Raw genomic sequence first — 16,037 nt, forward strand, 5'->3', positions numbered from 1 at the left:
AGCCCTGGGATACAGTAAAAGCTGTTACAAAACGGAGTTGCTATTTTCACAAGAGGCCTTTTCACTAATAAAAATCTTCATAATAAAACTGTTTCCTCTTTACTATGAGTATCTCCCATACATGCATGTCTGATGCTCTTTCTTTGCTGGTATGGAAATCATGGTCTCTGAACTCAAGCAAGACAAGGACATTCACAAGGATAAATATCCAACCTTGTTCTTAAGCCAAAATGATGTCAATTCCCTCAAAACAGGAAGACCGGCCCTCACAGATACAGGCCTAAAATAACTCTCTCAGTCAGCCAATATAGAGATGAAAATTAAACTTAGATTTTCTGACACTCTATTCTTGTTCTCTCACCACGAGATCCTCCCAGTTCACTGAGAAATCATTAGGTTTACACTATAAGCCAATTCTCCTCAAGGCCTGACAAATTTATAGCTTCTTCAAACATGGGAACCAAAGCAGAAGTTATCAATTATTTTCAGGGTGTCTAACTTTTAGCTGGGAATACATTGATATAGACATGTGATGGCATCTGTAATTCCAACCAGTCCTCAGGAGAATATCCACAGATGCCTTTTTGGAGCCTTCTCTAAGATAATGAAATAGGCTCTGGTCAGAGACACTGTACCTCACACTGTATAACAGCTTTCGACATAAATCTGGAGCATGATTTGCATTTGAAAGCACCAGATCAATATTTGAGGAGGGATTATTTTTTATCAACTTGGCTCTAATTCTCTGAAATATACAGTTATTTTTTAAATGTCAAGACCAACTACACCCACACTGGCATGAAATAGCTTTGTCAAAAAAGTTGAAAAAAATTAAACGTAAATTTTGTGTTGACATAATCCAGGTTAAGTCTAAAAAAGAAAAATACTTACTTTTGTAAAATGAGAGGCTATTTTATCACTCAGAGAATGTCACATCAATTGTAAAGCCATCAGGCCCAAGGTTTGGTGGTGATTGCTTCATATTTACTGTTAGTCCAGCAACGGGGATGGTACTTTTACAGTCTTTGGACAGACTAGTGAGTGTGACATTTAAAGTGTTGATTTTTGCAGCACTTATGTTAATTGTTGTAATTTTCCTGATGAACCACCATTCTGGTTTCCTGATGCAGCCAAGATAGTTTTACATTTTCTATGCAGGGCCTCTTTGCCATTTGGTCTGTGTAGTGTCAGCTTCGAGTGCTACTGAAAGCAGACAAAATTGCAAGCAAATTGCATCAGATTGCCAACATTGTGAAAAGGTAAATTGCTTGCAAATCTATTTAAACCACTGCCCTATTTTCATCAGCTTCAGTACTTGGTATTCATGATTGCTTAATTGGCGACCTTTCCTATTGTGTAGTGCTTTATGGTGTAATGGAAAGCGATCTTTACCAAACCAATTACCCTTTTTTTCTCAGCACTACATTATTGCTGTGATTGCAACTGCCAGTCCTTTGTAAATGAACTTTCTGATTTCAATGATGTTTTTAAAATGTAAGATAGAAAAAAGTGGCATTCATATTGTGCGATGTTCTATTTTGAAGCCTCTTTGTAGTCACCATTGTCTGGGAAAATGGACTGAAGGGTTACACAGTACCTACAAATATCCATGTAACTATTATTAATATTATTATAATGTCCTCCTTTGTACTGCAGCTCAATTAGGAAAGGATAGGAGAAATATTTTGTCACCCTGTCAAGTGCACAGGAAGTGCATTTGAGGCTTCTTTTTTGACACATACATTATCTCTAGTAATAAGATTCGTTTTAAGGAGTGGTGATGAAGATACAAAATCAATTTAAATAAAATTCACATTGCTAGTTTTATGGTCACTCAACATTTAAAGGGGAGCTTTAAATGACTCAAATATTCAGACTTAGAATAAAAGCTTAATTTTAAAAGAGATAGTTGTGAGCATACTAAGAAATAGTGAATTTTTAAGATCTTAGGTTCTGAATATACATGCCAAGACACAGCAAAACATGACTATTCTATAGTTCAAAGCTAAAAATACGTAAATACAGATATGTAGCCTGAATTGGAACAGAACTAAGACAGCTTTTAAAAACATTCTCTTAATAAGATTCTATAAAATCAGCATCCACATGAATTCTCATAAAAATGGGGCATAGAACTCCATTGAATCCTGCTTACGTATTTTTGTGTGATTTAGAAAATTATATCATTACTTATAAGTATATGTACAGAAAGGGAGCGACAAGTAATTTAGTCATTCTCTAATACTGTTAAGTGGAGATGGATGCATCTTTCCACCCCCTACAGTTAGAAACTCTATTGTATGTGGGATATTTTGCAAAGATTTCTTTTACTCTCTTCTCTCATTTAATTAGGAAAAAAATGGAGTTCAGAAAAGGCTTGCCAATGATGATCAGGTGATTGTTGATTTTAGTACCTTTGATGTAATGTAATGATTTATTTATAGCACAGCAACTTATTCTTTGAAAGCAAACAAATGTGTTTATTATCTGCTGTTTGTAAAAGTGTTCATAACAAACAATTTCACGGTGATATTGAGGTCTAATACAGTTATTACTTTGTATCGGCAATATATATTCTTTTGGAAAATTAGACACATAATTCAATTGTCTGACTTTTAGTATAGTCAAGTATTTACAGGTGGGAGGATGACGTTTGTTCGGGTGTTTGTTAAAACATGGGATTTTAAAAAAAGTGTCCTGTCAATTTGGAGCAGGACCCAGAAGAACTCTCACCTTGTGGAGGGCCTTTATATTAAATAACTTTTGTAGAAAGACTTTTAAGACAATTTTACTTTTCTTGGGGAATGGAGGGTAAGGGAGATCTGTGATGGGAGAAAACTCGTGGGCTGGCAGGAACCACAGTTATCACTGTCAGTGTTACTGACAGAGGTTGGTGGTGAACTCTCACTCTCATCATTCATCTTTTCATCTTTCTAGATCAGTACTGAGCCCTGTGATGGTAACACAGATAATAACCACAGCATACATAGTCAGGGCTTACAATGTGCCAGGCACTATGCTAAGCCCTTTAACTACTGTGTCTCATTTAAAATCCTTCGAACATTCCTATTAGGACAATAATATTATTCCCATTTTATAGATGAGGCAACTGAGGCTGAGGAGGTTTTGAGGCTGACACAGGGCCATGCAGCTAATATGAAACTGGGCTATGACCCTGTGCAGCCAGGCTCTAGAGCCCTGTGTTCTGCCACCTAAAGAGCTCTGTTTCCCAGTTCCAAATTTCTCATTCTTAGGCTAAGAAAGACAGCCGATTGGCTAACAAACACATAGAATCTAAATATCTGATTTTCAAGACTATTTTAAGTAGTTATTAAGAAAATAGAGAAGTGTGGCCAGAAGTCATTTGATCTTTTTTTTTTTTTTTTTTTTTTTTTTGAGACTGAGTATCCCTCTGTGGCCCAGGCTAGAGTCAGTGGCAGGATCTCTGCTCACTGCAAGCTCCGCCTCCCTGGTTCATGCCATTCTCCTGCCTCAGCCTTCCGAGTAGCTGGGACTACAGGCCCGGCTAATTTTTTTGTATTGTTAGTAGAGACGGGGTCTCACTCTGTTAGCCAGGATCGTCTCGATTTCCTGACCTTGTGATCTGCCCGCCTCGGCCTCCCAAAGTGCTGGGATTACAGGCGTGAGCCACCGCGCCCGGCCAGTCATTTGATCTTTTATGCTTTTCATCTCTTTAGACTTGGTATAGTTTTGGCATTGATATTTATGTTTTATATGCAAAACTCTTAGAAACTCGGATGTTCTAATCAGCTTCTGCATGCACAAGGATGAATTCCTGTATATGTCAACTATCACAAAGAGTCCTGTAGATGGTCCTTCTCTTTCTCCTTTCTTTGGGAAGAGAAACTCTTGAATGCTGTCGGCATGGTAAATATCCAGTCCATCTTATCACCTCTGTTAAATAATGTACTTTGGAGTTTGTTATTTGAGTTTGTTGATGGGTGGGACCTTTTTGTTTTAGTTCAAAGCTCTTTCAAAGTAATGGCCGTAAGAATAGTTGTCAGATTTCTTCCTGTGAAAGAGGTAAAGAGGGCGGGGGCTGGAATGAGAGTGAGAGGGTGGGGGGGGTTGTTCCATTTCAAGGGATCTACAAGTAAATTACAGCATGAATGAAATATTTTTTGAGATTGCACATGAGGCATTTGTTGCACTGATTTAAGTGAAAGCCAAGGTGTTTTGCTTGGTATCCCAATGCTCATATTGCCATGGGCAACCAGTGCAGAGTTGAGCATACTCCTTCATGTTTTCAATGGTAGTTAACTCCATGCTCTTATCTCAGCAAGTCATATGTAAGGTCCAATAACCAAAATGTTAGGAAAACTTAGAAAAAAGCAAGAAGCTGGAGAACCCCTTTTATTCCCATTTACTCAGACTCATATACCAATTTCTGGATTTATCCCAAAGATTAATTCAGGGGTGGGGGATGGTAGGGAGGAATTCTAGCCGAAGAATCACTTACGTAAAAATTCATTACGTAATTTATGACCAGGTGCTGTGGCTCATGCCTGGATCCCCAGCACTTTGGGAGGCTGAGGTGGGAGGATTGCTTGAGCCCAGGAGTTTAAGACCAGCTTGGGCAACATGGTGAGACCCCATCTCCACAAAAATAAAAAAATTAGCCATTCATGGTGGTGTGCACGTATAGTCCCAGCTACTCCAGAGGCTGAGGTAAGAGAATTAACTAAGCCTGGGGAGGTCAAGGCTACAGTGAGCTGTGATCACGCCACTGCACTCCAGGCTAAGCGACGGAGTAAGACCCTGTCTCAAGAAAAAAAAATATCATCACATTTTTATTTAGCAAACTCCCTGCACAGATTTAATATACTGTTTCATTTATGGACAAAAAAACTGTACTTAAAGTTTTCAGACTTCCCACAATTTTAGGAAATTACCTCTGTGTTGTTTCTTCTTTGCTGTAATACCACTACTGCAATTCCTTGTACTCCTGCGGGGTGTGGACCTGTAAGGATCATTTATTCTCTCAAATAATGTCCTCTTCATAATCAGCAGCATCCATTCACCCCAAACAGATGGAAGTTAAGGAACAACAAACAAGATTGACCATACCGGTATTACTGACCCCTTATGGATATTAAACTATTAAAAAAAACTTTTATAATCCAACACACCTTTACCATTGATAATAATGATGGATGCTTACAAAGGAGAAATTCTCTGAGCTTTCTTGGCCTTAATTCCTTCTCTACATGAAAGTAAACTGTGAAACCCTTCCACATACACAAAAATAGCTAATCTCTTATTTCCAATTTATGAATTTTTTTTTTTTACTGTGGTATACCCTCAGAAAGATCATAAAATTTAAGAGCAAATGGAAGTGGTACACTATAGAGGAGTCACAGAATTTGTGGAATTGGATTTAAAATTCTGAGATAGTTAATTAGCTCTGTGTATTTTAGGGAGACTGTAACTACTTGATATACTAGCAATAGTAATAAACAACATCTAACATGTGTTTGGGGTTTACTATGAGCCAACAACTCTGAGATAGATACTATTAACACTTCTGTTTAATAAATGAGGAATACGGGATTTTGAGATTAAGCAAAATTTTCAAGATCAGAAAGTTTGTAAGTGGTAGATCTAAGATTCTGATTCAGATAGCCTGGAAGTCATTACTGAGTTCCAATTTAAAAAGAAGAAAGAGATGCCGGGCGTGGTGGCTCACGCCTGTAATCCCAGCACTTTGGGAGGCCGAGGCGGGTGGATCACCTGAGGTCAGAAGTTCAAAACCAACCTGGTCAACATGGTGAAACCCTGTCTCTACTAAATATACAAAAAAATTAGCCAGGCGTGGTGGTGGGTGCCTGTAATCCCAGCTACTCAGGAGGCTGAGGCAGGAGAATTGCTTGAACCCGGGAGGCAGAGGTTGCAGTGAGCCAAGATCGCGCCATTGCACTCCAGCCTGGGCAACAAGATCGAAACTTTGTTCCAAAAAATTAAAAAATAAAAAAAAGGAGAAGGAGGAAAAGAAATGAAAGGAAACAAAGAAGAAAGAAAGGGAGGGAGGGAGGAAAGGGCAAGAGGAAAAAAAAGAGAGAAGGCATTTCAGAAATTAAGAAAGCCAACGAAGCGCTGTATTATCTTATCATTAAGAAGCTCCCAAATCCCTAAACATGCACAATAGAATTTCGAATTCTCCCTAGGCTTCTGGGTAGTCACTTAGTATTGTACATATCTGGCCTGGGAATTAGTATCATTCTTGTCTTTACAAATTTTTTTTTCAGTTGTTTTTTCACAGTCAATGCAGAATTGCATTAACCTCAAATTGGTGGCAAATATTCTTGTCGATTATATAACAGTGTAGGAGATGGTATCACAATGTAGGGAAACTTCCACCTTCATGATGCCAACAAGAGGCTATTGATGGAGAGCCCTACATAGAAAGGCCTTCTTTCTCCCTCTCAAGGTAGAATTTTCAAGGGCTCATCTTAGGTCAGCTGAACAGCGGACAAAGAAATGGTAAGACTGAGAAGAGAGAACAGTGTTCAAATCCAGAGAGATGAATCCTGCTATGGACTCAGTGTGTCTCCCCAAAATTCATATGTTGAAGCTTAATGGCCAGTGTGATAGTACCAAGAAGTGGTACCTTTAAGAGGTGATTAAGTCTCTGCCCTCATGAGTGGCATTAGTGACCTTATGAAAGGGCTGGAGGGAACTACCTTCCTCCCTGCTGCCCTTCCACCTTCCTCCATGTGAGAACAAAGCATTTGTCACCTCCTGAGGACACAGCAACAAGGCACCACTTCTTAGAAGCAGAGAGATTGGTCCTTGCCAGACACTAAATCTGCCAGTTCCTTAATCTTGGGCCTCTCAGCCTTCAGAACCATGGGGAAATTTCTATTCTATATAAGTTACCCATTCTCAGGTATGTTGTTACACAGCAGCACAAACAAACAAAGACCCCAAGACGAATATAACCCACTACTTCTGCCTAGACCTGCCCGAGTGACCTGGCACCCATTCTATCTAGTGTGTTACTATGTAAAAGGATCTTAAGGGAGAGAAATTTCTGAGAGCCCCACCACTCAGGTTTAGCTATTTGGGAAGGCATTCCTAAACCAAAATGGATAATTACTTTTCTTACTCCAAGGAAATGAATGATAGTTTCTCAGCAAGGAGAACCTTCATTCCTGGAGGCCCAGGTGAAGTGAACCATTCAGTTATTGAATAAAGATTTGCCCAGCACTTTCTGTATGTCAAAACACTGTGGCAACACAGAACTAGCAGTCCCAGCTTCTCCCAGCAAGCCTCACAGTGTGATGGTACACATCGACATAAGCCACAAGAGAGACTTATTTTAGAATGCAGTGCCATTTAGAAGAAGAAATTTTCTTTTAATTAAGTCAATTTGAGAAAAATCAACGTTTAAATGGCAGTGAGGAAAGAAGGAAAAAAATTGCAGATCCAAGAATAGAGTTTTACATTAGACGGAGATTTGCTTAACTTAAAATAGTCCATTTAAGAAGTGTGCCAATACATTTATGACATTACATTTCATATGCTGATATTTATTTCTACTTATTATTTTAATAGATGTAAGGGAGATTTCTTAACAATGGTATCTTTTAAGAATACAGTTGTCATTGGTCCCTAAACTGCATTTTGACATTCAGTGAATGTCAAATTTAATCTAACATTTTAACTGGCCTCTGTTTTAAAGTATTTACAGTTTAGATTGTTTTTGTTTTTTTCAAAAGGATTGAGATTTTCTGACTTATCATGTCCTTCTAAGATAAAGAACTGAATGGTTTCATTATTTTAGAATGAAATAATCTTAGTATATTTAAATGTGAGTTAGACTTCCACAGCGCTTTTTCTAAGTAATATCATATGTAGTCTTCATGAAGTATTGGGTTTTTGAATGCTTACTGAAATTTTTTTAAATATCTATTTAAGGAATATCTTACCAACTTACAGCATTTTAATGAGCAACTCATTATTTGAACAAAGCATTTCTGTAATGAACCCAGTAGCCAGGAGTAATGAACCCTGCAGTCTCTGGAACCCTGAGCACCGCATAACTCATGGGTCTGGCTACCATGAGATTGAGCATGAAATTTCACATCAAAGACCTCCATGCTTGAGGAGCAGAGATGCACGGGGGTGGTATGACCAGGGTGAAAGAGCATGCACAAAGCAGGCTGAGTTCCTCCCAGTGTGTTGGGAGACCAGATGGAGTTTCTGCAGGGGAGGAATATTTGCAGTCACTGCTCACTCTGGAAATAACAAGCTTCTGCAGTCAGAGCTGCAATAATAGAGGAGCGATCACTGAAACACCAGCAGCAAAAGTCCTAGAGCACCTTGTAGTGGTCGGCCTGTACCTTGAGCCTGGGCCAGATTCATAGGCATACAACCTGTACTGTTGCACAGAGTCCTTTGCCTAAAGGGATTCCATGCTTGGTTTAATGTTCTACAGTCATTGTTCTGCAATTTTTAATAAATGTTGAAGAACAGGCCCCTCATTTTCATTATGTAACTGGTCCTAACAAGAGATTTATTTTTAATTATGGCCATTTCATTCTAAAAAAGTCACTGACAACACCCAGGATGCAGAACGGTCTGGAAGTTGTCACAGAGGAGACTCTTGAGGAAACAAGGAATAGTTAAGAGGCAAAAATATAACTTGCAATCAACAGATAACACTTTATGGCTATCTTGATCTGGAAAAACTAGAAAGTATCATCCAGAGAAGGAAGGAGAATTCTATGGTTCTATTATTAGAGTCTTCAACTAATAATAATGGCAAAGGATTCCTACATATCAATGGCATTTAATCATGACCCATGCAAAGAAATACATTTTATTTATGACCATGTATACAAAAATATACACAGACATATGTATTTATACATATATATGTATATGTGTGTGTATATATATATATGTACATTCACACAGTTTCATGAGCTTACCCTTACCTTATGGTATGCATTGTGAGGCTTTCTGTTTTTTTCTCTTTTATTAAAAAAAAGTGCGTGTGTGTGTGTGTGTGTGTGTGTGTGTGTGTCTGTGTCTGTGTGCGTGTCTGTGTCCTATTTGCCTAAAACTCTGTTATGTAGTATAGGATTGCATTAGATAACCCAACTTTTTTTAGCTCTCTGATTACAATTTTCAAGGGCTAAAAATTGCAAGTTATGCCACAGGCGACTTGAGAATGTGCCTGAGCAATTGGATGGGGGGTTCCTATACTCTGCTCATCAGCCTCCACTCCTTATTCAGCTCCCCACTGAAGAGCTGTGGGCCTGCAGTGAACAGACTTTGGAAGTGATTCAGCTCAACAACTGTATCTTAAACTTTGATCCATGGACTACTGGTGAGCAATGAGAGTTAGGAATGAAACAGAAGAGTCTATGTCTAAGAAAGACGTAGAAAATTTAAGAAAAATTTTGTTCACCCTTATCCTCATAGAATGAACTCCACGAGGAGAGGGGCTATGTCTGTCCAATTCCCTGCTTTCTCTATTGTGTGCACAGTACCTAGCACGCAACAGGTGCTTAGGAAATATTGAGTGAATGAATGAATTACTTTTTAAGATGTCAAAGTAAAATGTGGGGGAAATTGAGAGATTTATAAAAATTCTCAAATTGTTAACAGGTATGAATTTTAAGATTCATCCCTCAGCAGGTTGACAGCAGTACCACATATATTTATAGTAAAATTGGACATTGTCATGTCCATTTTATAGATAAGAATACCAGAGCCCTATGAAATTTAATGCTCTTGGAGTTACCTAACAATTTATAGGCAGAAATGTTGATCGAAAACTATTGAATTTCTGACTTGCTTATTGGTAAATTCTAGAAGGAAGCTCCACGAGGACATCCCAATGTTCAATGAATGAATGGGGTGCATCTTAGTGAACGACTTTGTTGAGCCCTTTAAAACATTGGTATTTTGTTGAGCGGTGTAATCGTTAAAAAGAAACTTGTGCTGTGCCAATCACTGGCCTCTGTGGGCTCACCAATTTCATTCCTGAATATGACAGCCTCACTGTTAGTAGCAATTTGTTTTGTAATATTGTGGCGTGATTGAAAGCAAAAAGGAAAGAAACAGGCCAGAGGAATTTTTTTTCCCTTAATGGAATTACTACTCAGAAAAAAATGGTACTTGGTTGGGCAAGTCCTTATCATACCAAGTGAGCTCTTCAAAATGTTATGTCCCATTTGTATCACTAACTGTATTTTTAAGATGACAAGAGATGAATGAAATATAAAGCTTATGGTTACACAGGATACTCATCTTCATGCACAACTTCAGCATTAATGTAACCTTTAAAATGTAACCTTTAAAAAGCATGGTAGTTATCAGCAGCATGACCCATATCAAAATGGAACTGCCTGTCAAGCCTTGCTCATTTGATGCATGAAAGTTCTATATTTTCCCTCATAGGCATACGTTACAGTACCTTTATGTTAGCCCGCACAGCATGCCACTGTGGAATTTCCATAATTGTAGATTCTGCACAGAGGGTATAACCACTAGCATCTATCTGTTTAGGTAGCCCGGAACACCCAGATGTTTTGAAATAGTCACTCCCTTCAAATGAAATGGAACATCCTCACAACTAGTATGCACATGTTTAAACTAAGTTTGAGCATGTGTATTCTTCTCTTTTAATATGATTTAGGATTGTTAAAAACATACTTAGAACCTACTTAAATTTCTCAGGTATAGTTCACTTGACTTAATGCACATGCTGTACAAAAGCTAGTTAACTCCTTTTGAAATGGCAAGCAATATTTTGTATCATAAACCCCAAAATAAAAATTGATTCAGGGCACCGAAAACACATCATAGTAGCAAAACACTCTAAGCACGGAGGGTAAGAGGAAAAGCTGTTTTGCACTACTGGATAAAGTCATTTAACTACATGAAATCACCAATTCTCAGCCATTTTTGGCGGCAGTTTTGTAGAGCTCAATCTTTATTTCTCGGCACCTGTTGCTCATTCTACCTTTATGATCTCCCAAGAAAGCTGGGGCTCCCCTGAGTAGAAAGAAAGCAGGGGTCAAAAAATTCCAAGTAGTTTTCACTTGGCCTTCACAGGAAGGCAAAATACTTAAATAGATATTTAGTGGGCCAGTTTCAGTCCTTTAGTTATTCTTGAAAAAGGTGGAAGAGTCCCCTGAAAAAAATTACCAACCATTTATTCCACCAAATATTTTTACCTACTAGAAAAGGGCCCTAAAATCATAGAGATTATGTGCAAAATTTATCTATGAAAATGTTAGTAGATTATAATATTAAAGATTTAAATATAACATAAAAAACTAATTATATAAGCTTGGTTAAATAGAGCATAGACCTTCCATAATAAAAAACAAAATAAGGAAAGTATTTATCAAGTAAGAAAGCTGTTCATGAAAGAGTATTTATTTAAAAAAAAAAGGATGCAAAATAGCTTCACATTATTGTATCATAAAAAATCAGTATAGATACATGTAAACATAGATACATTTAAATATATATAAACAGAATTCATAACAAGACCTGAATTGTATTCACTGTTGTCAGTGATTATTTCTGAGTGTGAGCTTAAGATTATGAATGCCTTTGGGCTTTTATTTATCTGTACTTTCTATAATAAACATGTATTATTTGTAAGATAAGAAAAAATAAAATAAAATGTTACCAAGAATACTTAATTAGACAGAGTTTATCAGCCCACTCATTTTTTTAAAAAAAGTTCTGACTCCTAAATTAAGATGATTTCTGAGTATTTGCATCAGGAAGCTTGATTAGCACAGAAAAAAATCCCATGGAACGTTATCCACATGAGATATTGATAACTTCTCTTGAAGTTCCAAGAGATTCTGAATCAGTGAGAGAACAAAAGGCAAGGGGTGCAGAGAGCTGGTAAGCAAACCTCTGGAAGGGGACTTACAGCAAATTAATGAATTGAAATAATTTTCTACCTACCCTGTGTCTCTTCAAGTCACTCATTTGGGTTGTTTACCTTATACCAGTGAGTAGCAATTAGGCTGCTAAAGAAGGCAAACAAACTTGATTAGTAAACAGGAAACATTTTGCATGAGAGGAAATTAAGTGGGGTTGGTTATTTGAACTTAATTTAGGAAATACTTCAGACAAATTTTTTTTTCTATTTCTTGTCACAGAGAGAATGCTTTAAATGGCCAATGGCAGAGTAAAATATTAGAGCTTCATTCTGAAGAGATGATATATATGTAGATCAAATTGATAAAAATAATGATTTCATAGGACAAATGGACATGACAGGACAAGTGAATGGAAATAGGATTTTATGGGAAAGTTAGTGAACATACTGAAATATCTCTTAGGATGAAACTAAAAATAGGCTCCAATAAAATTACCTATCACGTGTAATGCAGTGGCTGACGCAAATTGAGAACACATGTAGTTCTCAATATACATTTGTGGGTTGGATTTTTTAAAAGAATGAATGAATTGATATAACTTCGCCTCATCACCTTAGACCATGGACCAGATCTCTGCAATTTATACACAGTAGCCAGTAGCACTGAGTTAAATTAAACTAGATAAGGTTACATGCTACATAGCAAAACTATTAAATTCTGTGACTGGGGAGCCAGTTATATTCACTGTGATATGCCAGTTTAGCTCTTCAATAGTTCTTTCTTCTATGGAGCTTTATATATGTAATTCAGAAGTTTAAAAATGAAACTTATGTATACTCTTTAGCATACATAGATACATAAGGTAAAAGCAAAAAGTCATCAAGTCACTGTAAAGGAGAAACTGTGAAGCATTATTCTAGAATGTTAACCATAAAATATGTAGTTTTCTTTAATAGAACATAAATTGGTTCTAATATTTTTCATGAAGCTAGATTAAAAAAAAAAAAGAGAGTAACTCCTTACAATTTGGATGGGCAAGTAAAAACACCTATGTATTCCTTCTACTAAAGTGAAAAGTTAGAAGTAAAAGAAGTATTATATTTGCTTTTATTTCCTATATATGCACAGATTTTCCAATATCAGTATTTCATGATGAGTATACAACCCATTTGATATCTACACAACCTAAAGCATTGTTGAGGTGGCAATGTCATCTGCAAAAATCAATCCTCATGTATCAGAAGAAACTGAAGCAAGTCCAGTGATTAACATGCCTGAGAGTTACATCAGAACAAAAGTACTGGTTGCCTAGCCATCACTTTGGAATGATAACTTAAAATGCCGATGTTCAATTATTTGAAATTGAGCACTTGCAAAACAAAGACTGATTCTCCAGGCCTCACAAATCTAAAAGTAATAGATACCCATATTGTTGTGCCATCCATTTTATGACGACTAGTTTTTTCCAAATGATGGTAGCTATTGAAATATTAAGTGACATGTTTGACATATGCCCAAGTGTATTATTGGCAAACTTGTGTTAATAAAAAAAGAAAAATAGCTAAGAATTCATAATATAATTAATTGCTATTTTATAAATCAGATGCATTCATTCAATAAATGTTTACTGAATTCATGCCGTGTGCCAGGCACTGTATTAAGTGATAGACAATTATTACAGTAGTCCACAGTTTTGCTTTCTACAGTTTCAGTTACTCATGGTACACTGTAAGATATTTTGAGAGAGAGAAGGAGACAACATTCACGTAAGTTTTATTACAGTATGTTGTTATAATTGTTCTATTTTAAATTTTAAATTATTGTTGTTAATCTCTTTCTGTGCCTAACTTAAGCTTTATCGAAAGTCTAGGTATGTATGTATAGGAAAAAATAGTATATATGGGGTTCAGTACTATCTGAGGTTACAGGTGTCTCTTAAACCAAACGTGAAATTTACTAGTTTAGCTGGTTTTCAAAATAAGAATAAATTTGGAAAGCAAGCCTCTTGATTTTAGCTTAATTTTCCTCAAAAGTATCAAGTGGCTTACATCAGTTTATAGATCACTGTTATTGTATGATACTTATGTGATAGAATTTGATATCCTCAAATTATCTTAGTTATTGCCTGGAAACTAAGTTCAAGTTCACTCACATTCAGGTAGAATAGTTTGTAATATTCTAGAGAACAACAGAAGTAAATAAGTCTGTAAAGGTTAAAAAAAAAGTGAAAAGTGAATTTCTCTTCCAGGCTTTGCTTTCAGGGATCCTTGCTGCCACTAGGTGACTTCTACTGCCTTTTTTTTTTTTAATCTGTAGAAGGGGGTGGGGACAGGAATAGATAATATAATAAAAGTCTACATGCAGTGTGGGAAACACAGCCCTTAGCCTGGGGTGTGAGAGTGGACACTAACAAAGTCTGACACATCTTTCAGAACTCTCCATCAGATGAAAAGTGTAAAATAACAGAGCTGGCTAAGCCAGAATTCTAAATCCAGAAAAGGAAAAGATAAAAACTTAAAAGGACACAAAGACCGTAGCCTCATTTGTTCGCACTAATGTGTTTAGGGTTTCTCCTCTATGTTCCTTGATACCCATAAAGAAGTCAAAGTTCGGTGATCAAATACCACATTCACGTTATTTTCTTTCTTGCTTTTCAGAAGCAATCCATGTTGGTTCTGTTTGTCTTTGTCTTGTCTTCTAGAATATTTCCTCTCTGGAGAGTCTTTGCTCCTACAAGGCAATATGCCAGCTGATTTTTCTCTGGCTCGGATAGTGGGGAAGGCATACAACTGTGTCGTGCTCATTTCGGAGGTTTCTTGTCATCCTATTTGTTTTCTTTGGGTCTCCACTTGACATGACTCAGCAACCTCACCTTTTAGCTCCAGGATATTTTATAACACCTTCATTGTGTATTAACATGGATCCATATATGTAGAGCAATATATAGATCAAGATATTTACATCTACCTGGAAGGACATCAGCTAAGTATCAGAATTTCCATCTTAAGAAAGAAAATTATTTGGAGCAGTCTGAGAGACCTCCCTGAAATCATTGATCAACACATTTGATCATATTATAATATTTACATCTAGATAATTTTTTCATTGTGCTAGTTTTGAAATCCTTCAAATTTGACACAAGAGATCTGGCAAATTAGACACTATTTTAAACACATAATGTGTGAACTAATTAATTCTTACAAGCCTAAAGGATAGATGCTGTTATTATCACCATTTTACATCGGACAACACCCTCGCACAGCAAAGCTAAGTAACTTGTCCAAAGTCAAACCGCTGCTATGAGGGGGAACTAAGAGTTGAATGGAATCATCATGGCTCCACAGAGTGAGTACTCAATCACTTCATTCGCTCTTCCAAAAATCAAGTGTCTGTTATCTTTATCTAGAACAAGTGCAACAAAATTATTGTAGAGAAAAAATGGAGAGTTACAAAAATTTTGAGCAAGAAAAGTTAAGCTGTCCAGATAGAATGAAAACATGTCGGGAACGTATAAATATAGCAAACCCACGGGAAGACGATGGCACGGTGACTCTTGCCTGGGCTAGCACAGCCATGCCCTCACTGCCTCTCTGCATCCAGTTGCTTCATGGACCCATCCAGCATCCACACTTTTGCCGGAGTTAACATGCCAGAAACAGTCTTATTAAGCTCCTGCTAAGCAGGCACATGTGAGCAGGTGCATGTGCACGCGTGTGCGCACGCACACACACACACACACAGGCTCCCTATTGCTTATGTCCTGTGAGATACATGGGTTGACCTTGGCCTCAATTCTAGCTACTCCTCTACCATCTGTTTTTTCACTGGACTCCCTAATTACTTAGCATCTCAGGACTTTGGCACGTGCTCTCACACCTCCATATCCTTCTTTGCTCATGGTCTTCCCACCAACAAGAAAACCTTTCCTCCCCACTCTGCCCAGGACCCCTTGGAAAATTTCTGATTGTCCTTCAAGATCTAAGGCAGGGGTGTTCTAAGTCAGGGGTTTCCAATCTTTTGGCTTCTCTGGGCCACATTGGAAAAGGAAGAATTGTCCTGGGCCACACATAAAATACACGAATACTAATGATAGCTGATGAGCTAAAAAAAAAAAATCACAAAAAGTTTACAAATTTGTGTTGAGCCATATTCAAAGTT

At 37.2% G+C, this 16,037-nt stretch overlaps 1 long non-coding RNA gene across 1 annotated transcript in view, besides 1 other annotated feature; it reads left to right on the forward strand.

The window, feature by feature from the left end:
• LINC01162 (long intergenic non-protein coding RNA 1162) overlaps positions 1 to 16,037 on the forward strand; it is a 187,718-nt gene that overhangs the window by 127,712 nt on the left and 43,969 nt on the right. The gene's annotated exons all lie outside the window — the stretch shown is intronic.
• Positions 519 to 1,989: an enhancer, noted in NCBI's record as "VISTA enhancer hs110". NCBI's record gives its function as "enhancer in: forebrain[4/4]" and the evidence as "EXISTENCE:transgenic organism evidence [ECO:0001131][PMID:17130149]".

The sequence above is a fragment of the Homo sapiens genome, chromosome 7, assembly GCF_000001405.40.
Source record: "Homo sapiens chromosome 7, GRCh38.p14 Primary Assembly".
In the NCBI taxonomy this organism is placed as follows: domain Eukaryota; kingdom Metazoa; phylum Chordata; class Mammalia; order Primates; family Hominidae; genus Homo; species Homo sapiens.